Consider the following 24080-nt stretch of genomic DNA (forward strand, 5'->3'; position numbering starts at 1 on the left):
GAGGCTGCTGGGGATCAAACTCTAGCTCCAAACATAAGATCTCTGTGACTTTGAACAACTTACTTAAATTATTATTATTATTATTATTATTATTATTATTATTATTATTATTATTTTGAGATGGAGTTTCGCTCTTGTTGCCCCGGCTGGAGTGCAATGGCACAATTTCAGCTCACTGCAACCTCTGCCTCCCGTAATCAAACAATTCTCCTGCCTCAGCCTCCCAAGTAGCTGGGATTACAGGCATGTGCCACGAAGCCCAGCTAATTTTTGTATTTTTAGTAGAGACGGGGTTTCGCCATGTTGGCCAGGCTGGTCTCAAACTCAGTTGATCTGCCCTCCTTGGCCTCCCAAAGTGTTGGGATTACAGGTGTGAGCCACCACGCCCAGCCTTAAATTATTCCTTATTCAGTTAACCCATCTGTAAGATGAAATTAGTAACACCTATCATGAAGGGTAAATGTGTTCGTTGGTAAATGTGTGTGAAGTCGTTAGGACGGTATCTAGCACATAGTAATCACTAAATAAATATCATTACCATTATTACTGACATTATACTAAATCTTGTTTTAGGAGATTTGAAGATAAAGACTAATGAGACATTATCGAACTAGTTAGTATTATTGTTATTATTATTATTATTTTGAGACAGAATCTTGCCCTGCAGCTGAGGCTGGAGTACAATGGCAAGATTTCAGCTCACTGCAAACTCCGCCTCCCAGGTTCAAGCCATTCTCCTGCCTCAGCTTCCAGAGTAGCTGGGATTACACGCATGTGCCACCACGCCCAGCTAAGTTTTTTTTTTTTTTGTATCTTTAGTAGAGACAAGGTTTCACCATGCTGGCCAGGCTGGTCTCAAACTCCTGACCTCGTGATCTGCCCACCTTGGCTTCCCAAAGTGCTGGGATTACACGCATGAGCCACTGCGCCCAGCTGGCTGTTTTATTTTTTTAATAAAACACACTGGCCAGATGTGTTCAGCGCTAAAAATCTCATATGTCCCTTTTCTTGTAAATTTTTAAAAACAAATTAATGATATTTTTGATATTTAGAGTTTAAAACATAAGGGATGCTTTTTGTTTGTTTGTTTTATGGAAAACCATGATACTCTAATTTAGTAGAATCTTGAAAAGTGAGAAACTTCATCCTGAGTTTGGTAGATATCAAAATGTTTTTTCTTTTCATAAAATTTAAAAATAATTCCCTGGAACTATGTATTTGTCAGTTAAAATATTTTATAGTCTGTTTTACCTTGCATCATCGGTTTTTTAAATCTAAAGTATTCAGAACACTTTTAGCCAAATGTTGTAAATAACGCACTGTATGAAAAGATTTTTCCTTTTTTTTCCACATGTATTGTGTCTCCTGAGAGTGTTTCCTAGGAAAGCAGTCGACGGGAAATCCAATTTTCTTTCATTTAGTTTTAAACTCTGTGCTTCCCAAGCTGGCTCCAGGCACATCCATGCTGTAAAGCAGGGTCAAGGGAAGCTGCAGAGACCACACTGGAGCTGGTTAGAGGGAAAGGTTGTTTACCTTAGGATTTCTTGTCTTAATGAGAAGAAAACTGTATGTTTTCTTTCCAAAATAAACAATATTCTACCCTCGAACCAGTTGGAATATGCACAATTGGATACACACTGAAATAATAAGAGCTGTCAGTAAACATCAGTGTTCAAAAACATGAGATTTACTTGCGGAAGCTTCTCTATAAAACAGTTTCTCCATGTTTGGTCTTGGGAACCTTAGGGTTTCTGTATCTCCTTTTAGGGAGTCCTAAAAGCTCAAAACTATGTCCACTAATAGTGCTAAGATGTGATTTGCCTTTTTCATTCATCAGTGTACAGTGAGTTTTCCAGAGGCTACAATATTATATTGCAATGTAGAAACTGACGTCAAAAAATATAAAATAATGCCTTCTTCCCTCACTATGCTTTTATTTTAAAAATGTTATTTTTCATAATCATTTTTATGTCAACATGTATGGGATTATTCATATTACTTTTAAATTAATTAAATCTTTTTATATCCTCTCAGTTTTAATTTCTAATATGGTAAATACAATAGGTATAACTTAAATAAATTAAAGTTATTGGGTAGTCAATAATTCTAAGAATATGTAAATCAAAATAAAAGCCATCTGAGACTGAAATGTTTGCGATCTGCTGTATGTTATGCCTAAGTAATAAGAATAGCTAACATCTACTGTTAGCAGTAAGCCAGGCACTGACCTAAGTGCTTTTTAATAAATTAATTGATGTAATTCTCATATGAAATCTATGTAAACATTTTATTATCATCATTTCTGTTTTACACATGAAGAAAATGAGCCATGAAATGATTCTAGTGAGGGTTCCCCTGTCACACAGCTAGTAAAACACTGGCCCCTGGGGTTTGCTCTTGAACTCTGCCTCTCAGAGAGAAAACAGTGATGGTCAGCTCCCAGCAAAATGCAATTTGTGGTATTCCATGATCAAATCGTTTGAAATACGTTTTATAAATGATTACTTAAGACATCATATGTTTAACCTATGAAGTATTGTGTTTCTTCCTGTAAGAATATGCATTCTCTATCCTATTTCAGAAAATGTACTTAGTTCAGTTCAAACATATTTAACTGGTTGCTAGATGGGTCTTACATTGTGTTGTTGAAACTAAAGATTAATAAGCTAAATCCTTTCCTCAAGAAGTTCATATTTAGCAAGGGAATAGAAGAGAATACAGATAGTTTTCCATAATTGAGTTCGGTAAGTGTTATATTACAGGAAGCATGGGAATACAGTGTTTCATGGAGGTTATATTTCTGGTCTTTGAAGTCAGAGAAGATTCTATAAAAATTCTCATTTCAAAATTTACTCATGTGTCTTTTGGCAAGTTTGTTTTTCGTTCTCAGTTTCCTCATCTGTAAAGCTTGGTTATTGTGAGTCTTAAATGAGATACTATAGATAAATCACAGAGCACAGTATCTGCACATCATGACATGCTCAGTAAAGCCTGATCATTATTGATGTATAGACAATGCGCTCTTAGAGGGCAGAAGCCATTGCTGATTTATTAAAACGTTGGGGGTGATGCATATACCAAATATACATTTATAATTTGTGATTAAATAAAATTGTTGGCTGGACAGAGCCCCTGGAGCTGTACTTTGTTAATAAGTTGACTGAAAATAAAGCATTGAGATTTTAAAAAGTGAACATGTAGATCAGATTTTAAAAGGAATTTTATTCAAGAGAAAAAGCAAATGGACAAAAAAAAATCTTACCATTCATAAAAAGGTTTCTCCCTCAGAAAAAAAAAAGGGGGGGAAGTTTCCATTCCCAACAATCACTTCCATTTTCATTTTTTCCTCCTGAACTATAGCAATGAGCATCTAAAAGCGAAGTCTACTACAGACTTCTAAACTGCCCCATTAGCTATTAAATGGAAGAAAATGTGACTGGGAAACTACCTTTAACCAGAACAATCAACAGGTACTAAAAGCCTACGGATTCATTAGGAAATGTCCATTAATACTGGTTTTTTTTTTTTCCTCCTTTGGCTTCGAATCGAATGTTAGTAATAAATCCGAATTCATAACACATTTGTCATCACTATTCATGCAAAGCCATTCTCCTGAGTAAAAGGACCCTTTGTGTGTACCATTGACAACTATGCATGGACAGATTTCAACTAGGTTAGATTCTTGAACAGGGCAGTCAGGATAAAACTAGTGGCATAACACCAAGCAGGGTGGACAGAGTGAGAGGGACGGAGGCCAGGAAAGCAGCTCCAAGGCTTTTGTTCTGATCAGTTGTTTAGATTATGAGCTAGTATATAAAATCTCATTGTTAAAATGGAAAGGAAAGAAGCAAATCAAATGGAATCTGCAAAGGAAGGACTCACAATACTTGGTGCTCTGGACTTAGGTGATAAAAGAGCAGAGTCTTTGCTGAGTGCAGTGGCTCCTGCCTGTAATCCCAGCACTTTGGCAGGTTGAGGCTGGAGAATCACTTGAGAACAGGAGGTTGAGGCTGCAGTGAGCTATGATCATGCCACTGCAGTCCAGCCTAGGCAACTTAGAAAGACTATGTCTCTACACTTTTTTTTTTTTTTTTTTTTTGAGACAGAGTCTCGCTCTGTAGCCCAGACTGGAGTGCAGTGGCGTGATCTGTGCTCACTGCAAGCTCCGCCTCCCGGGTTCACGCCATTCTCCTGTCTCAGCCTCCCGAGTAGCTGGGACTACAGGCGCCCGCCACCAAGCCCGGCTAATTTTTTTTGTATTTTTAGTAGAGACGGGGTTTCACCGTGTTAGCCAAGATGGTCTCGATTTCCTGACCTCATGATTCACCCACCTCGGCCTCCCAAAGTGCTGGGATTACAGGCGTGAGCCACCGCACCCAGCACCCCCCTTATTTTTTTAATTAAAAAAAAAAAAGGATCACAGACACAGGTAACTCAACATTTCTAGACATCACCAGTATAATGAGGAAGCATCAGTTTCTGGGTGTGAAGGGTTGGTGGGAAGGGAATGAACTCTATTGATCAGAAGTTTGAGTTCAAAGCAATACCAACAAGTTAAATGCTGTGTATTAAGTTTTAAATAAAAAAGTTGAGTGGAAAGTAAGAATTAGAGACTTAAAGGGAGTCTCCTGTAGCAAAGAAAAAAAGATTGAAGTCAGTTGAATGAGTGACTGCCCCGACGTGAATGAGTGGATTAGAAAGATGAGAGTGGACTGCTATCACATGACCACTTTCTGTACATCAGATTGTGTCAGCTTTTCACCCAATTGCAAGACACTCATGTGCTGCAAAGCGGTGTGCTAGAATCCAGTCTGAAACCGTTTGAACTGTCATATAATCGGGGAAAAGAGTGTACAGGTTTATTAAACATTTAGAAATAAATGATACCCAGGAAATTATCATGCATTTGGAATGAACCTAGACATTCATATCTTTACAATCTACCTGCATTCCATCAACTTCACTGGAATTACATCATGTTTGGGCATTATAAAAGTGGCCACATCCTCTTACAAAAATAAGTAGCACATTCTCTTATTTGGATAGGGATAAGAATGGCAGCTTCTGACAGCGGGAGCTGTAAATAATGGGCTTCACTATTTATTTGTTGAAATTTTCTAAGAATAAAGAGTGACAAGTAGGCCTGTAACACACTTAGCTTCAACAGTGAAACACCTAGAACTCACCTTATGTGGCCGATGTTTAATGATGCTATGTATTTATGATACATTTTAACCTTGGTTATTTTTAACTGTGAAGTACCTAGATCATATTATGTGTAAGAAATATTGACTGGGAATCAAATTTATGGAGAGAAATATCACCCTTTGGGTTGAAAAATTGACCACTACTAGAATATAATTTCTGAAAATGCAGCCTGAAGGCAATTCACTAGAGGGTAATCTTTCAGTGCAAGTAGGCAAGTTTTCACAGGATTCTGACAGTCTCACTCTCTTTCTGTCTCTCTTTTTAAAATAACCTCTAAGCACATTTTTTGTTTAAAATATGCTTTAACTTCATTACTTCTCGAGACATCTTCTTTAATTCACATAGTCATATGACCTCTATCATTGAGAGAAAACTGTTAGGCACAACTTTTAAATGAGGAATTTTCAAAACGATGTAAATGATCTGAAATCTACTTTCTATCAATAATGAGAGAAACTATGCACTATTTAGTGCACAGCTTAATGGGCTTCCTAATCTCTCAGTTTCTAGTTTTTCTCTTTTCTGAAGGCTCCAAACACTGCTGTCAACTTTTCCTTTCTGAAGCATGACATTGGCCATGTCATCTAGCTCAAAAACCTGCAGTGGCTTCCTACGGTTTTTTGAATAAAGCAGAAAATTCTTAGACTGGCACTGAAGGACTCTCTAATCTGATCCCAAAATGTATTTCCTAATTATTTCCCTTGCACCACACACTAGTTCCCCCTCCATGCACATGCTCATTGTAATGATTTTAATATTGGATTTTATAATATCGTAGCCAAAGGTGAAATTTGACATAGACGTCTCTCAGGAGCAGTTTTTAATATTAAGTAGCATGCAAAGTTTTCAATGTTTCAGACGTTCTTTTAGATCAACTTAAAGTTCACATGCTTTTATAGAGAAAGAGAGTAGCAGGGAGAGAGAGTAAGTGAAAGGGAGGAATCTGTACTTTTCTTTACTTGCAAAGTAATTACACTGTAAATCCAATCAAATGAAAGGCTTCCATGGGGTGTATCTTCCACACAGACTTCACTCCACAATTGTACTTTTCTTTTTTCCTTTGGGCTACTTTGGCATCGTAACTTACATTGGGATATTAAAAATTTATGTTTTCTAAATTAATGATATCTCTTTTTTGTATTGAATTAGTAAGTATATTATATTAATATTAAAAGTCTGTATCTTATGAGGTGATGTAGATGATGTAACAATCAATATCTCAAAGAAAATTAAACCAAAACCAAACAAGAACTGTCTCAGCATGATACCAACCAGGATTCCATGTTGCATTCAAATGTGAGGTCGTATATTTTAGTCTCATGGAAATTAATCTGATAGCTTTTACATTTGTGTGCTTCTGTGTGTTCAGAATTAAACCTGTTGGAAACTTTTATGTGTTTTGATACTTTGATCAACTTGTTAATATTAAGATTTCTTTTGTTATCCAATAGTATTTTATTTGTCCCTTTTTTGTGTGTGAGACAGAGTCTCACTCTACTGCCCACCATGGCAGGATCATGACTCATTGCAGCCTCGACCTCCTGGCCTCAAGTGATCCTCCCACCTCAGCTTCTCAAGGAGGTGGGACCACAGGTGCACACCACCACACCAGGCTATTTTTTTTTTTTATTTTGTAGACATGGGGGCCTCACTGTGATGCCCAGGCTGGTCACAAACTTCTGGGATCAAGCGATCCTCCTACCTCAGCTTCCCAAGTAGGTGGGACCACAGATGTGTGCCACCATATGCAGCTATTTTTTTTTTTTCTTTGTAGAGGTGGAGTCTCTACAAAATAATACCCAGGCTGGTCTCAGTCTTCTGGACTCAAATGATCCACATGCCTTGGCCTCCAAAGTGCTAGGATTACAGGTATGAGCCACCATGTCTGGTCTATTTATTCCATCTTAACCTTTCAAATTATGTGATGATATATTCCCAGAGTTGTCCTTAATACAGGTAGTATTACATTTACTATTGGGTTAAAGAGGCCAGCTCATTAACTTCTTAGTCTTCAGTTTTCTCATCTGTAAAATGCTAGTAATAATATTATCCCACCCAGTGATATTGTGAGGAATAAATGCTACATGGTTTCTACTATTATTATTTTACATTTATCTGGTAAGACATTTGCTCCAAAGGACCTTAATTTCATTCTATACTATTATTATTTTACATTTATCTGGTAAGACATTTGCTCCGAAGGACCTTAATTTCATTCTATCTATACTGCAATTTTTTTCTCGTAATTTTGGTTCTCAAAAATAATCATTCAAAGTAGTTATTAAGCAATATGACTTCAAATTTCATAATTTCTGAATAATTCTCTAATTGAAAAAGAAAATACTCAAAATATGTCTGTGTCTATTTATATTTAAAAACTAAGAAAGTTGTATTGTGATTATTTTATAAGCCTTCCCATCACTTAGAGATCATTGTTTCAAATATGGTTTCTATGATGTTCTCTGGTTCTGAAACTCAACACTGATAGAGTGTACATGTATCTACATATGTATAAATACATCCAACACCTATGTGTATGTTTATTTAAGTATTAAAATTTAACTGTAATATTCAACTTCTTGTACCTCTTTTAGAAAACCTCTTCCCTCCCACTGGCTTAGGTCTTCCTCCTACATAAACTCAGAATAATGAAGCTTGTCATGGATTGAAGCAAATCTCTCTTGTGTTGTCTGCTAGGCGCCAAGGTTCCTAAGGTCAGGTTTGAGCCTTTGGTCTCTGGGCCCCACTACAGGAACCAAGCACGTGCCTTTATCACTGCTCACTGCTCATGACTGAATAAATTGCCATAAATATTGGCGGCCCTGCATTATTTAATAAATATTTATATATGCGATGAATATAGACAATTATAGCATGTATACATGCAAGGCCAACATTTGTGTATGAAATGTGCATTTCATTCTGATTTATTCTGCATCTACAGACAGATCTCATTTGAATCTATAGACTGCTCTCCATCCCATACCCTAAGAGGAATCTGTCTCCTAAATCAATCTGTTGCTTCTCAGGCTAAAAACATACCTAGATCATTCTTCTAGTAACCAGATATATTTCTCCCCTTCTCCTCTACACATAACCAAATTTATCTCCTTACTCTCCCAGGTGGCTAATCCATTTTATTTGCCTTCTCACTATTCATTAATTGCTCAATGCATTGCTACCTGGCTTCTTCCAAATACTCCTTTGAAACTGTTTTGCATTCCTAATCTAGAAATCCAGTACACATTCTTTAGTCTGTATCTTTCTTAGTCTCTTTCTCAATTTAGTCCTTCTCTTGCCTTTGGTTTACTCCTTTATAAGGCTTCTTAATGCTATGTAGCTAAGAAGCTAGATAGAATTATTTTTCTCTGACTGTTTAATAAATGTCCCACCACTTTCTTTTATATAACCTTGGGTAATTTACTTACCTATCTGAGCCTAAGTTTCTTATTTGTATAACAGGGATAATAACAGCATGTACTTCAATGAGATTATATGTGTACAGAATGTAGTGTGTGCTTGGAATATAGTAAGCATTCAAAGAATCAAGGCATGTTGTCAGAAATGGTAAAGTGTGTGTGGGTGAATGTTGAAATGAACATGTTTCTGTCCTATCATTGCTCTGGATGCCATATTGGCAGGGAGGAAGAGATACCGTGAGGTAGGGACCAAGCCTTTATCAATAGAATGTGGTGAATAAGTAGCATTATATTACAGAATTCCACTTTTTATGAAATCGCTTTCCATAGTATGGTTTTTACATGATAATAGGTTCTTTTTCTTCCTTCATGTCACCCTAAAAAAGGAGGAAATTGATGAGGAAACATTTTGAGCAATTCTTTGCAAAAAGAACCTTAATGTATACAGTGAGGCAAAAGGTAGTTTATATTTAATATTGATTGCTGGACTTGGGTAGTTTGCAAAATATTTTGATTAGGCCTCGTCTTCCAAAATCGACTTCAATTCTCAATTTATTCATGAATTCATTCCACAAATGTTTACTGAACACCTACTGCATGTTTGGCACTGTACTAAATGTTGAAATGCAATGGTAAACAAACAAGTCTCCTCTCAGAGAGCTTAACATCTGTAAATACTCTGCAGTTCATCTGTAGCTTGCCATACAAACTGACAAGAAACTGCTTGAAAACCGTCTATGCTACAACTCTTATTTTCCTATACTATGTAGTTTTCAAAAATAGCACTGTTGCTTAACATACGCAGATACATCCAAGTAATACCATTAAGGTATGCATTAGAAGAAACATTGACAATTTTTTTTCTTATTTTCTTTTTTCTTATTTTTTCTTATCAAATCTTTTTCTCATTTATTAAAAAAGAAAAATATATATTCTTATTTTTCTCACATTTATTTTAAACAATATATTTAGAAATCATCATCTGACATAAAAATACCTTTAATTTTCTCATGCTGGTAAAGTTACTATAATATTTATCTACATTATCTTTTGTCTAATAAAAGCCTCTTCTGGACTGGACATGGAAAACACTGACTTTAAGTATAAATTCTGCCAGTAAATGAGCTCACATCAGTTAAATTGCCAATCAGGCTTGGCAGAAGTCAGAATGTATGAGTTCAATATACAAAATGTATATGTACAACCAGTAAAAACAGTCTTGTATAATTTGTAATTATATTATTCCTGAGTGCTGCGGTGCAAGAATGAGAAGTGGTTTATATGATTGTGTAGCTGGTCTTTCTAAGACGCATGTTCACAATCTATTTTCTCTGTTCCAATGATGTGTAACTATAATCTATAAAGCATATGTATATTTAAAATAAGGTTCCAAATATTACGATAAAAATAAGAAACAGGCTGTTATTTCACTCAATATTGCATTGTTTATAAGGTTGGTGGATTGGAGAAGGGACTTTTAAAGGCATTCATAATTTCTATGTATTTTTCTTAGTTCTAGCCCAATATGTGTTGAATACAACAGAAAGCATTTTCCAAGGCTGAAGCTTATGCTTTTCAAACATACATCTCTCAAATCTGCTTAAGATGTTACTATGCAACCCAGTTTTATTTTTTTCATTCATTTGCATTTTTAGATGTGTTTCTCTCCTGGCCAGGTTATTAGAGTTGGCGGCTGCATGGTACAGATAGTGAGGCCCGCCGTATGTAGGTGTCTTCATGGAAATCACCTGGGGCCGAGAGTTCCGCTTTTCTCACCTTATCATATCTGGAACACAGATTTGCTCTGCTCGTCATATTTTGGCATCTGTGAATCACCGTCATGTTGTCATATTCGCAGTTACAAAGTAGCCGGTGGGAAAGGAGCCAACTACTTGAGGCACTTGCAATGGAAAAAAAAAAAAAGTCTGATTTCAGCATTATTCATTGGAAATGCTATTTGTGAAAGCATTTACTTCAGTTTCTGAGATGCTGGCAATAACTTTAATAGGCAGTGCATAAGTCTGCATTTTTAGAAGAAATGTTCCTATGTGCTGAACAGTGAAGAACCAGTAGTTATTAAAAACCATGGGTAAAATGGTAAGCATAGGAATTCAGGAGTAATTAGCCATCATTTACTTATATTTTATCAATATTACCTTCTAATTAATTGCATGATGAGCCAGTCATGTCAATATAGATGATTTATGGTAATTCTCTCAACCAATATATCTCTTATAATTTTACCTCTACTCTTCATGAACATATAAAGGTGGGCAAAACCAAACTAAATTTTAAAATTATATTGAGTAACAACAAAGGAAATCAGGGTATGTCCTGAGAAATTAGAACGAATAAATTTGTAAAAATGTGATGCTTCCAAAACAGTTAAATGTAAGTAAAATTCATCATAAATATAAGCAAAATTATACTAAAATATTTTTAAAATATTATAATTATATTGTTCTGTTTTAGCTCTACCTAATTAGTAAAGGCATCTCAGAAAGTGTTAAGTTCCCATCTTTCTGCACATATCTCTTCATATGTTGTTTGGGTTAAAGGAGTGGCCCCTTCTTATAACCTTCATAGAGATATGGCAAACCCCTCCACCCTACCCACACACAAGAAAAATCAAAAACACTGAGCTTTATTTTTTACTTTACTGTACAATGTCTAACTACATTTAGGTTGTGCCAACTCAACTCAAACCTTGTACTGAATTTATGAATCTTTTCAAAAATGTTCCCTAGTAATTTTATACAAGGTTTGCTGTTGCCTCTGAAGGATTTGTGGTGACAAGATGGCAGTTCTAAGGCAAATACAAGGAAAGCCATTCATTTGCAAAGAAGTGTGAAGATAGTTCCTGAAGTCAGCATTCATCAAAAATGTTGTTTCATGAAATACTATCGCTGGAAAAAAACTAGTCGGAAAAAAGAAACCTCGAAGGGCTGTAGTTCAATAATCTTGGGAATTCTGCACATTCAGGTTTCTCTAAGTGATTCATAATGAACATTAGTATTTAAAAGTACTGGTGAAATCTTTTAATAAAAACTTTTATAAAAATACAAAATATTTTCCAAATATATTTAACCACAGACTTTTTTTTATTCCAACAACTAATAGCACCTCAGGGATTATCTTTTGGTTGGGAAATCTACCTTAAATGAAGAAACTCATGATGGTTTAGAAAGACCCAACTGTCTTTCAAAGCAAAGGAATGATGAGCTAGATCCTTATCCTAAAACAAACAGGTGGTCACTTTTTTCCTAATCATGTTATGAAAAAAAATCATATTAATAATATATATTTTCATAATTCAAAGTCCCTACCTGTCCTACTAATAGGAATGTCAGTCTTTTCTAGGGGTTGTACATTCAGACTTTCACAAGGGAGTCATCTAAATTTTGGGTTTTCAGAGAAGTGTTATCAGACAAGCATCAGTGATTTACGGGAATATGTAAATTGTTTTGCAGAAATACACCTATATTAAATAGGATGATATCTTGAAATATGACAAAGAATAATGCCCCTAATATAAAAAGAGTTCCTATAAATACATGTGAAATGAACTGATATGGTTTGGCTGTGTCCCCACCCAAATCTCATCTTGAATTGTAGTTCCCATAATCCCCACAGATTATGGGAGACACCAGGTGGAGATGATTGAATCATGGGGGCAGTTTCCCCCATGCTGTTCTTGTGATAGTGAGTTTGTTCTCAGGAGATGTGGTGGTTTTATAAGGAGCTTTCCCCTTCACTGGGCAATCATTCTTTTCCTTCCTGCCACCATGTGAAGAAGGACTTGTTTGCTTCCCCTTCTGGCATGATTGCAAATTTCCTGAGGCCTCCCCAGCCCTGTAGAACTGTGAGTCAATTAAACCTCTTTTCTTTCTAAATTACTCAGTCTCAGGCAGTTCTTTATAGTGGCATTTGAACACACTAATACATGGACCAATATTCTCACAAAAAAAAATAAGGAAAGAATACGAATAGATGTTTTATAGAATAGTAAGTACAAAGAGCCTATGTCTATTTTGTCTTCACTAGTGAACATAAATTACAATTTAGAGCAACAATGAGAAAACTTTTTTTAAACCCATCAGATTGCCAAAATTAAAGATCATTTAAATCTAGAGCTGGTGAATATTTAGAGAAATTGTTATTATTAATTCATAAGTGGGCTTATGTATTATTGTAAGTTACTAAAAGTTTAATCTATCAGTGTCTACTAAAATTATTAATTGAAATTATAAATCTATATATCCCCTGACCCAGCACAGTTAATTCTGCAGGAATTATATATATATATAAATTCATTAGCTCTTCTGTGGCTGAATTCTTCAGCTTCTGTCTTCTCTCACCTCCCTGCCCTCTCCAATTCCTCCTGTATGAATCTGCTGGCTTGTCTCTGCTTCATTGTCTCAAGTGTCACTGCTAAAATAGCCATGATGTAACTGAAGATCTGATCAGTCACTCCTTATGGTGGTCTTGGAAGTCTAAAGTTGCTGCCATTGTTACTGGCTAAAGTGCAATTGCCACCAAAGCACCTAGTCACAGTGCCTCTAAAGCTTTCTATTGCCAGGCCCTTGTGCTGTGATTTCATTTCCATCACAATGCTTTTGGGGTTGGGAGCTTGGCAGGGCTCTCTCTGCCCCTTTCCTGACTTGGTTTTTTAATAAGCCAGGAAAGCACTGCCATATGTGGCTGAATCTTGGGTGCTATAGCATTTTGGAAATACAGCTTCTCCAGTTCATGTCCATGGCAACCCCTCTCCAAATGTTTGCAGGATCAGCATGGCTGGCAAGAAAGTTTTCAGTGTCAGAAACAGGCTAGGTCCAGAGTGGCACTCCTCTGTGATGCATTGCCCTCAGAGCAGAGACCAGTCTGCTGGTCTGGAGTCCTTCCACCTGCATGATAAGTTTCCTTGCATGAACACTTTGTCTTTTTTTGCAATCTGGCCTTGATCTTTGGCAGTGCAGATATTGGTAAAGCATTACAATTCAATGGTAAGGAGGAGGCAGGTGGGAGCTTCAGGTCCATGCCCCTTTGCTCCCTGGAGGTACTTCTACCTCTTGTGCAAATCCATGGGCGGAAGTTCTCATCCATCCTCACCTGCAGCCAGCCCCTTGTGTACTAAATTCAAATGAAGCTAATCATATTAAGGAAGAGCTTATAAGCAACTAACTCTTAGCCATTGTCAGACCCTTGTCCAAGCAAATGTCCTGCAAAAATGATTTATGGTTACAGCAATGTTCATGTGGAGACTGTCTCGCGGCTTCTTTAGAAGAGTTCTCTTTTGATACAGATCTTGAAGTGATTGTTTTTCTGTCCTGGTTTACCTAATCAAACTCATTCATGTGAGCCACACATGCTCACCCCCTCCTGCTGGCAACTTCTCCTCCAGGACTCCCACCCAGCCCACCGCACTCATCAGCTGGAATCCCTGCCTGATTGTCTCCTCTGCTGGAGCCTCTGTTCTCTTTCTAATTGTGAAGTCCCCTAGTGTGAACCCTCTACTCTTTTTTATCTTTCCATAGGTGAGATCATCCACATTCTGGTGCCAAATTCCATCTGTATTTTTACATTTAAATTTGTTTCTGCAGCCCAGTGATTCTCAATCCTGAGCAATTTCGCTCACTGCCTTGCCCTCACTCAGCCATTTCTGGAGACATTTTTGGTTTTCACAACTGGGTGGGGGAGACACTGTCATTAAGTAGGCAGAGGCAAGAGGTGCTGTGACATATCCTACAATGCAGACATGCACAGGACAGCCCCCAGAACAAATAAATATCTGGGCGAAAAAGTCTATAGTAATGAGGTTGAGAAACATATAGTCGCTCTGTTATGAACGCATGTTATGCCACATTGCCACTGAAATGGCGATGTGTGCCTCACACTTGAAAGGGCTAAAAGAGAAATCTTTATTTCCCTCCCTGAGTACGTTTTTTTCTCTTGGAATCCCATCGTGGGAGCATAGTCTATCTTACCTCCCAGAAACCTAGGAGTTGGCTCAATTCCTGTCTTTTTCACATTCTCACATCTACTCAATCAGCAAATTCTGTGAGCTCTACTTCCAAAATTCATTCTAGCATCATCTATTTCTCTTCATGTCCGTTGAAGCCACCACACCTGACCCCCATCATGCAGTAGCCTCTGAATTCTTTTCCCAGCGGCTGCCTGAGGCCCCTGCTTTCCATTCCCATAGCACCTGAAGAACTCTTTTTAAAACACGAATTGGACATCTATTTTCGTCCCTGTAGTAAGTAGTCTGCTCTCACACTGCTATAAAGAAATACCTGAAACCAGGTAATTTATAAAGTAAAAAGGTTTAGTTGTCTCATGGCTCTGCAGGCTGTATGGGAAGCATGGCTGGGGAGGCTTCAGGAAACTTACAGTCACGGGTGAAGACAGAAGACAGGCAGGAACTTGGTACACGGCCAAACAGGAGAAAGAGAGTGAAGGGAGAGGTGCTACACACTTTTAAACCAGCAGATCTCGTGAGAACTCACTCACTATCACGAGAAAGGCAAGGGGGAAGTCCGCCTCCATCATCCAATCACCTCCCACCAGGCCCCGCCTCCCAAACCCGGATTGCAAGAGTTGGGAGGGGCCAAAATCCAAGCCATATCACTCCCAAACCCCCACGTTATCCTTTTTCTCTTAGCAACTGACCCTCAAGTTCTAAATCTTGTCTCATATCCACCTTCCAGATCTTCTTCACAAACCTTCTCGCTCTGAGAGGCTTTCTCCTAGCAGTTTCCAAACTTTCTGCCTTCAGGCCCTCGCTGTTGTGCTTCCTTCTTCCCGGAGCGCTCTGCTGCTAGACCCTCCCAGGCTGCCTGCTGCTGCTCATCCACCCAGGTCGTATCTTCTGAGCGCACTTTCACGGCCATGCAAAATACAATGGATTCTGTCACTCACACACTATTATTATACCCTGTTTTAGTTTATTCAGAGAACTCAGTACGGCTTTGTTCATTTTGTGACTGTTTTCAAAACTCTAGACTAAAAGGTCCATGATGCCGTCTTTCCGTGCTTCACTTTGGTTGGTGCTCAGTAAATATTCATTAAATTAATGATGCTGGCCGGACGCTGTGGCTCACACCTGTAATCCCAGAACTTCGGGAGGCAGAGGCGGGTGGATCACGATGTCAGGAGTTCAAGACTAGCCTGGTCAACATGGTGAAACCCCGTCTCTACTAAAAAAAATAAAAAAAAATAGCTGGGTGTGGTCGTGGGTGCCTGTAATCCCAGCTACTCAGGAGGCTGAGGCAGGAGCATAACTTGAACCCGGGAGGCAGAGATTGCAGTGAGCCGAGATCGTGCCACTGCACTCCAGCCTGGGCAACACAGCAAGACTCCATCTCAAAAAAAAAAAAAAAAGAAAGAAACGGTGCTGTCCAGCAGTACACATAACTAGAAATGAGGCCTCAGCTGTTAGATAGCCTGAGACTGAGGCTTAGTCTAGAGGGAATAATTCTAGAAGTGAATTTAGAAATGACGAAACAGCAGTGTGGATCCACATGATGGGGCTTCTTTCTGGAAGTCTGCCTTTCTGCCAACATTCACATGCCTTCTTTGATCCCTCTCTTCTTGTAATCCACTCATAAAAACAATCCTGCAAGACACAACACTCTATTTATTTTTATTTATTTTCCAACTAGATTACAAATTGCTTAAGGGAGAAGATTCTTGTTTATTGTTGTATCTCTTGTGGCATAGCCCTGGACCTAAACATGCTAGGCTTTCCTATATAGCTAATATACTTCAAATTGGGTGCATGGAGTTTGTGATAGCTCTTTGCTACTCACATTTTTTCTTGCTCTCTGATTTTCTGATGAGTTCTAAATAATTGAGACCTTCTGGCATTTCATATTTAGAAAAATCTGAGCTTACATAATAAATGTTATTTGATAACTATTATAGCAAAAAGTAGAAAAATAGATTCATTCAAATCATTATAAAAGCTAGCCTATATTGAAGGCTAATTATGAGTCAAGCGGTATTCTAACACCTTTACAAAAACTGATTCATTTAATTATAACACAATAGCCCTGTAAGATGGTGCCTATTATTTTCCTCCTTTTGCACTTAAAGAATTAGTAGTAGAAAGAGATAAATGAGTTACTGAAGGTCACCCTGTAGTGAGGGGGTATTGAGATACCCTTTGAACGCAGATAGTATGACCCGTGAGTCAGTTCTCCTAAACTCCAGCTATTCACTTTTGATAAACACTATGCAATTGATTTCTTAAAATTCTTTAAACCTTTCAAGTAACAAAATCCTTTCTACCTAAATGCAACTTTTTAAAATTCCACAAGCTGACTTACTGCTGCATACTCTGTACAATTAAACATGTTTCAACCCTCTACTAACTTCAGTGATAAATAATATTTCTGCTTTATGTTATGCATGACAAATTCTTTTTCATCATCTCTAAAAATGCAAGACCTTAGAGGAATACACTAACATATCTTTTCACAGTAGAGTGGGGGAGGGTGAAAACCAGGAAAATAAGTTACTCCAATAATGCATTTTGGCATTGTAATGGTCCATTTCTAGCAAAGAGCAAAATAGACATTATATAACATGCTCTCATTTGATATAATCTTTTTAAGTTTAGTGATGATTACCATCTAAATAAATCAATATGAGCAAAATTTAAGAATAAAGATAACCAGAAAAGCTTTTAATTTTCCTTTCTATCAAAAGGAATATATTTGTTATTCCTAACTACAAAGAATCATGCTAATTTTCACAAAAGCCTTAAGATTCAACATACTCATCAGCAACAGATTCACATAACAACCCATGAAATGCACAAATAAAAATCTACATTAAAAGAGCATTAGAGGCCAGCCTGAAACAGAGAGAAATGAAAATATTCAGAGTCAATGTCTTGCTAGGTAGCCGATTCAACTTTAAGAGCCATCTGGTCCCTTTCATGCTCCATATCCACTGTCCTCTATCAATGTAGACATGGACATGGTTTTTGGTCCCCTAATTAAGTGGAATCAATGTGGAATGGTAGGGCAGTGCCACACAACCATTTCCATTTTGTTTTTTGACAAGATATTTCCCACCGATGATTAGGTTTCGAAAGGATCTTATATCAAGGCCAGCCAGTATATTCACTTTATAGATTTTTGCCTTATTTACTAAATCTTAACTTTCTAATATATATCTCAGATAATCAAAAGGAGAGATACCACCATTATTTTCCAGATAAAGAAACTGTGGTAGACAGGTATAATTTAAAAAGCTGTCCAGCCAGTTCTGTAGCAGGGATGGCGCTTCAAGTCAAGGAATTGAAGTAAAATCCTTTCCTTACCACATAGTAGCTGTAAAGCCTTAAGATAACACACATAGGATCTCTTAGTTTTAATGTCCTCAATTATAAAATGAGAGTAACATGTATAAAAGTGCTGAGCCCAGTCTACTGAGATTTTTGCTGAACTTGAAAAATCCAAAACTTAAAAAATCTGAAAACAAATTCATTATTTTCTCCTTCCCTAATTTTGCACCCCTTTTGTTTCTCTTATGATCTTTGTGTTAGTAAATGGTGCTTCAGTCACTTAAGCCCCAAATCAGAAAGATATTCTATAAACTTCTGTTCTCAGATGGTTAAAACTATCTATCAATTATGCTTTCCAAATAAGTTGGGAGCCTCTCTCTTTACATTCTCATGGCCATTGTGTCAGTTAAGACTTTCCCCATTTCAATTGTGGGTTAATGTAAAGGTCTCTTAACCAGCTTGCTTCATTCAGTGTAGCCATCCGCCACGTTGCTAACTTGATTATCCAAAACAGAAATATACCAGCCTGCCTTTTTAAAACGATCCACATTTCTTCTGTTTAAAAAGTTGGATCATCTTAAAGCAGCATACTGATCTAGGCCTTCCAGAATTATTTCCTGCCTCCTTCAAAGTCTTTCTCTAATTTGGGCAAAGTGAGCACCCTGGAAATATTCTAGGCTGTGAGGTTGCCCCATATCTTTGACCTTTGCCTATCCATTTGTCACTGTCTGATTGTCCGATTAAATACCACTCACTCTTTCCTTCAACCTCCAAATAACGAAAAATAAGTTACCTTGCACACCCAATAACTCCTATGTCTCACACACACACACACACACACACACACACATTCTCACAAAAGGAGATGAACTTACCCAGAAGTATTGACCATGTCAAGAAAGGTGGTACATTTCAAAAATCGAAATGCTCATGCTCTTTTTTTCTTTTCTTTCTTTTTTTTTTTTTTTTCTGAGACAGGGTCTCACTCTCTCACCCAGACTGGAGGGATACAATCATAGCTCTCTGTAACCTCAAACTCCTGAACTCAAGCAATTCTTCCATCTTAGCTTCCTGAGTAGCTGGGACTATAGGCATGTGCCACTACATCCAGCTGACTTAAGAAAAAAAAATATAGAGATGGGGGTCTCACTATGTTGCCCTGGCTGGTCTCAAACTCCTAGCCTAAAGTGATCCTCTCACCTTGGCCTCCCAAAACACTGGTATTACAGGCATGGGCCACCACAACTGGCCTCCCAGCTTTTTCTTCTTTATCTTTTTCTGTGGATAGTTCATTTGAAGATCAGTTTCTGAAGGGAAGGGTCTATTGCTTCTCCTCACACTAAAATAGTGTTCACGCCTCACCCTAAAATATTTTCAAAGAGGACTTTGCAAAGCTGTTAGAAGAGCTAAATGGCCACCTCTCTTCCACTGAACTTATGTCTATCACCAGTGCACTCAGGTAGAAGAGTTAAGGTCATTTGCCGCAGCCCTTGATTGGGAAGCTGATGGATAGGAATGTGCTTCTAACCAGAGAGAAGTTGGCAGCAAGACTGAGAAATGACAGCCCTGGCTTGCACAGAATGAAGCCCAGATATCACTTAATTGGTGTCCTTGATTTGGGCTATAGTCCAGCTATTTATAACCTGATGCATTAATTGCATACTGTTGTGATGTTACTTTGAGCTGTTTAGGGAAATGTTTTATCATAGTTGTTTACAACAGGGAAAAACACTAAAAATTGTTCACACTTTGACTGTTTGTATAACACGTCATGTGAGTAGCCATCAGCTTTTAAAGCTCATCAGCTGCTTGCATCTTGTCCCTTTAGGTCATGTTGGGCAGCCTTAAGATGAAATGGTAACTTTTCCCTCCACAGAGTGGTTGACCATATGCCCCCGGTTTGCCGAGCCCAGTGCTGGATCACATTAGTGTGCTAGCATCTTGTTCATTTACTTCCTTCTTTAATCTCAAAAGTCTTCCAGTGTGAGCAATAAATTTTATGTCCACTCTATCCAAAAGGGGATTAAGCAGAGTCAGAATTTGTCTCTGCAATGCTTGAAAATGGAAAACTGAGCAAAAGACAACTACAATATTGCAAAAGGGATCCAGCTTAGGATTCGAGGAAGATTATTTAATGAGAGGATGTTTGGGATTCAAAAGTTAGAGCAAGAATTAGATGAGGGAAGTGACTTTCTCAGCTCTCGCATTTGCTAAGGTCCCAAGGCTGAGAAAGGAAATAGGGATGCACATTTTAGCATAAAAGAAAGGCCAGTGTCTCTGCAGAATGATGAGTAAGGAGGGTGCTGGGGAAATTAGAACAGAGAAGTCAGCAGGGTTCTGAACAAGTCTTGGAGACCATGTCAAGGATTTTCAAATGAGCGATAAAAAGAAAATGTTGCAATAGTTAGGTAGGATTGAAAGTTGATTATACCTGCTTATTAAAAAAAAACACTCTTAACATCTGTGTGGATAAAGGATTAGGGTTGGGGTTAGGTGCATGAATAGCTAGAGAATTGTGAAGACTCTTAGCAAGCTAAAGTAATAGCCATTTTGAGAGATTGTGGAAATTCAGCTATCGTGGCAGTAGTGGGGGAAGAAAACTGTTTTTGTGTGCTGGTTCAGTAATAAACTGTTTATTTTCAAGAACTAACGGAACTAAAACTTGAGAAATTTATTTTGCCCTAAATGCTTCTGTTTATATCAAAGCAAAGAGACATCTTAAAATCATCTCTGTAGACGGATGAAAATTTGTATTAATTGTTTCATTTACTATTAGTCAGTTTTGCCTTTAATTGCTTGAGAAGGCACCATCAGGGAGGAAATGCAGTTCCAACGAGTGCAATATGAGAGACAGGGCACCAGGAGAGGAAGGTCTGCTCAGAAGGAGAGCCATTCCCAAGGAGCCAAGAGAATTACCAGACCGCCACTCCATCCACCTCTGAGCACCCGACCCCTTTCTAAATCTTGTTAGAGAGTCAGTCTAGGACTGGAGTGAGAAGCAATTTTGCTGTCCTGACAATTTAACACTCAAGTTAACTCAGATGACTTTGCAACATCATCTACCTCTGTTTACAAATTAGTATCTACACTTATCAATTTTGCAAGCATTGGGATTTTACTTGTTTTGAAGAGACAATAAAACAAAGTTAAAAACAATTCTCTGTAATTTGAGAAACTCAAACGTCAGCATTTGTGACGTACAGAGACAGCTGAAAAAAATGCATCTGCGTAGTCTTGCATATGCAAATAAAGCAGAGTTCCTAAGGAAATTATACTCGATACTTTTGGTTTTCACTTCTGAGAAAACCAATTCAGGTCCTACAGGAAAGTAAACAATCAAAAGAGTTTCTTCTGCTGCTGTTTCTCCTTCTAGTTACCCAGTATATCCCTCCTTTCCTCTGGTTGGGATTAAATGTTTTATTGATTCTGGCCAGCTTGTTTCAAGTATACATTGCATGAAACCTTGATTTTACCTTATTTTATCTCAGTGATATTTGTGAGGTATTGTAAATAAAAATCTCTTGGACGTTAATGCAGCACAGTGAAAAGTATATAAGGAACTCAAATAACTAATGTAATATTTGAAAAGAGTACATTTGATATTAATAACTTCTACCCAGTGGTATTTTATTTTTATCTAGTAGAAATGAAATTCTCTATGACACCTAACCTTTAAATTTTCTGGAATAGACCTTAATTCACATGCTTCTCATTATAGACGTTGAGTGGAATATGCTCCAATCTATACCCATGACCTGGATAATGTGCCCCGTAATTTCTGTTTTTGCTCTCAGACATGAAACTCATTAGCTTTTGTGGTTTCAGTGCACATGCAATGAACAGAAAAGCGTTTAATTATTACCACCAAGGAGGTGATTTTCTTTTCGGGTAAAAAAGAAACTAAATGAGGTCAGGAAAAGTTTTTTTAAAGTTGTGCTGTAATTGTGCTTAGTATAACAATGCATCATTCTTTATATCATTTACTGGATACCAATAAATGATATGTTTTATTTTAACAGGCAATTTGCTGCCAGAAGTGTGTTTTCCTTTTTAAAAGGTAAGTGCCTTTTTAAGAAATATTATATAAAATTATCATCATTTCTGATTTATAGCTTTGAAGAGCCTATTAATTTTAAAGCCCCATGGCTGACAGCTGTGTTGTTCAAAGGCGAGGATATATAGTATTAATTATCTTAAGCTCCAGATTATCGTTCATGGTGCTGACATTAAGTATAAAGGACAAACTGGCGCAGTTTTCTATTTTAGTAAGAATAATTAATTAACCTGGTGATTTTTAGAAGAAATACCTGTTGAAGTAAGATACAACTAACACAGTTCAGTTTGATCACATTTGTTTCAGTTCTGGATGGATGTAGATAATTTTCATGGAAATTGCCAGTAACTTAGAGTATGGCCACAGTTTGCTTTTGTTGTTGTTGTTGCTGTTGTTGTTGTTTTACTGGTTTTTCTTTCTTATTTGTTTGGTTAATTGGAGTCAGAGAATGGGCTTGTACATTTTGAAAGTTAAAAATGTTTGTGTCTGAAAGATATTACTTACCAATAAAGACTGTACAGTTTTGACTAGACTACATTTATATTTTCAAATTTTGCAATGTATTAGTTTCAACCATAAGTTAAATTTTAGAGCTGACTCAATCTAGTATTTAAATTTTCAAGAATTCTGTGATGTTTGAAAGCAAACTAAATGCTTAAGTAGAGAATACTTTGTGCTTTATTATGTACCCAAAAATGACTCCTTCGTTGTGTTATTTCTCGGCTTGCCTTTCCCTAAGCATTGATTCAGACAGTGAAAACATAGAGGGGTGATTAATTACTGTATTCCTGGTATAGTCTTTGTTTCTCTAACAAGTCATGGTGAATGTCTTCAGAAGACACCCTTCTACAGCATCCATGGCAAACATCAATCTCTATTACTGCTCTAGCTTGGAAGTTTCACTTGTTTATACCTCTTGGTTGAGTATCATCACTTTTTTACTTCTATACGTTTTGGATGCTGTAACGAGAGAAACTTCTTGCCTTTAGGGCATTTGAATTCAGCTTCTGCTTATAATAACGGAGGAGCTCTGTGTGTAATTATGTTGCCAAGATAAGTAAATTAATAAATTATAACTCTTTCCTCCACCTGATAATTGTTTATTTACGGGGTTGTATTTCTGCTATCAGGTAAAGTTGGTGTATTAGCTTGATGTATTAGCATCATGCTAACTATCACAGCTAGTTATGCAGTTAGCAAAGCAATATATTTTACAGGCACTTTGCATTTTGAAAATAGCACGTCTGTTACTTGTAAATTCCTGCTCTCTTACGGTAGGAGCCCGTAATTCTGTTAAGTAAGTTACCAAGAATTATGTTTAAAAGTACAATTCACAAATTCTGCCATGTCATGGAAGTTGGTAACTATGACAGAATTACAACGAAGTTCTTTTTTTATAAGTTAATCTTAAGCTATGTAAATATATGATGTACAGGTTATGAGAGCCATGGTTTAGACTACATTGCAGAAAAACAATCAAGAAAAGTAAAAAATTTAACCATTTCGAAAGTTTTTTTCCCCTTCCATACAAACTGGGTAGTAAAAAGAACGTAGACTTTAGGATCAGTTAGAACTCACTTGTAGACCTACCTCCAGCTCTTACTTGCTGTGTGATTTCAGGCAAGTTACTTCACCCCTCTGAGACATTTAAATTAGTTTTCAGACTGAATATAATAATACCTATTTTGCACAACTGCCATAAACATGCTGCAAGTGATTTGTTGGTTCCCTGCTTTCCCCTAAGAGTCAATCTCATCTTGTGTACACAGCCTTAGACAAATTCCTTAATGCTGTATCTGATAAAACTATAATTTTATGGTAAGCTTGTCTCTTTTTTTTTCTTCTATGTATATAAACTTTGCCTTGAATATACTAACCTGGTAGACTATTCACATCTACAAAACAGAACATAATATCTTGCTAAACTCTGTATAAAGATGCTGCCTTCTGTTGGTGTGAAAGTATACACCCATGAGATTGATTTACAGGCATTTTGTGAATGCAAACAACTCTCATTTTAGTAAACTCTTTATGAATCTTAAATACTTCTTTCCTTTTTTGTCTTCTCTTCAGTGCCCTTACTTAGGCTATTTCTTGTCCAGAGACC

The 24080-nt window shown here is 37.2% G+C and overlaps 2 long non-coding RNA genes across 4 annotated transcripts in view; one reads left to right on the top strand and one right to left on the bottom strand.

Annotated features, from left to right (window-relative positions):
* LOC105377565 (uncharacterized) overlaps window positions 1-15078 on the bottom strand; it is a 72379-nt gene extending 57301 nt beyond the window's left edge. The window contains exons 1-2 of the long non-coding RNA XR_939517.3: window positions 15018-15078; window positions 10404-10527 (exon numbers count right to left, since the gene is read on the bottom strand). This is a non-coding gene — a long non-coding RNA (uncharacterized LOC105377565). The remainder of the gene's footprint in view (window positions 1-10403; window positions 10528-15017) is intronic.
* LOC105377567 (uncharacterized) overlaps window positions 1-24080 on the top strand; it is a 158458-nt gene that overhangs the window by 120211 nt on the left and 14167 nt on the right. For all 3 annotated transcript variants that reach the window (XR_007058395.1, XR_007058394.1, XR_001741469.2), the window contains one exon: window positions 21939-21976. This is a non-coding gene — a long non-coding RNA (uncharacterized LOC105377567). The remainder of the gene's footprint in view (window positions 1-21938; window positions 21977-24080) is intronic.

The sequence above is a fragment of the Homo sapiens genome, chromosome 4 (assembly GCF_000001405.40).
Source record: "Homo sapiens chromosome 4, GRCh38.p14 Primary Assembly".
NCBI lineage: Eukaryota > Metazoa > Chordata > Mammalia > Primates > Hominidae > Homo > Homo sapiens.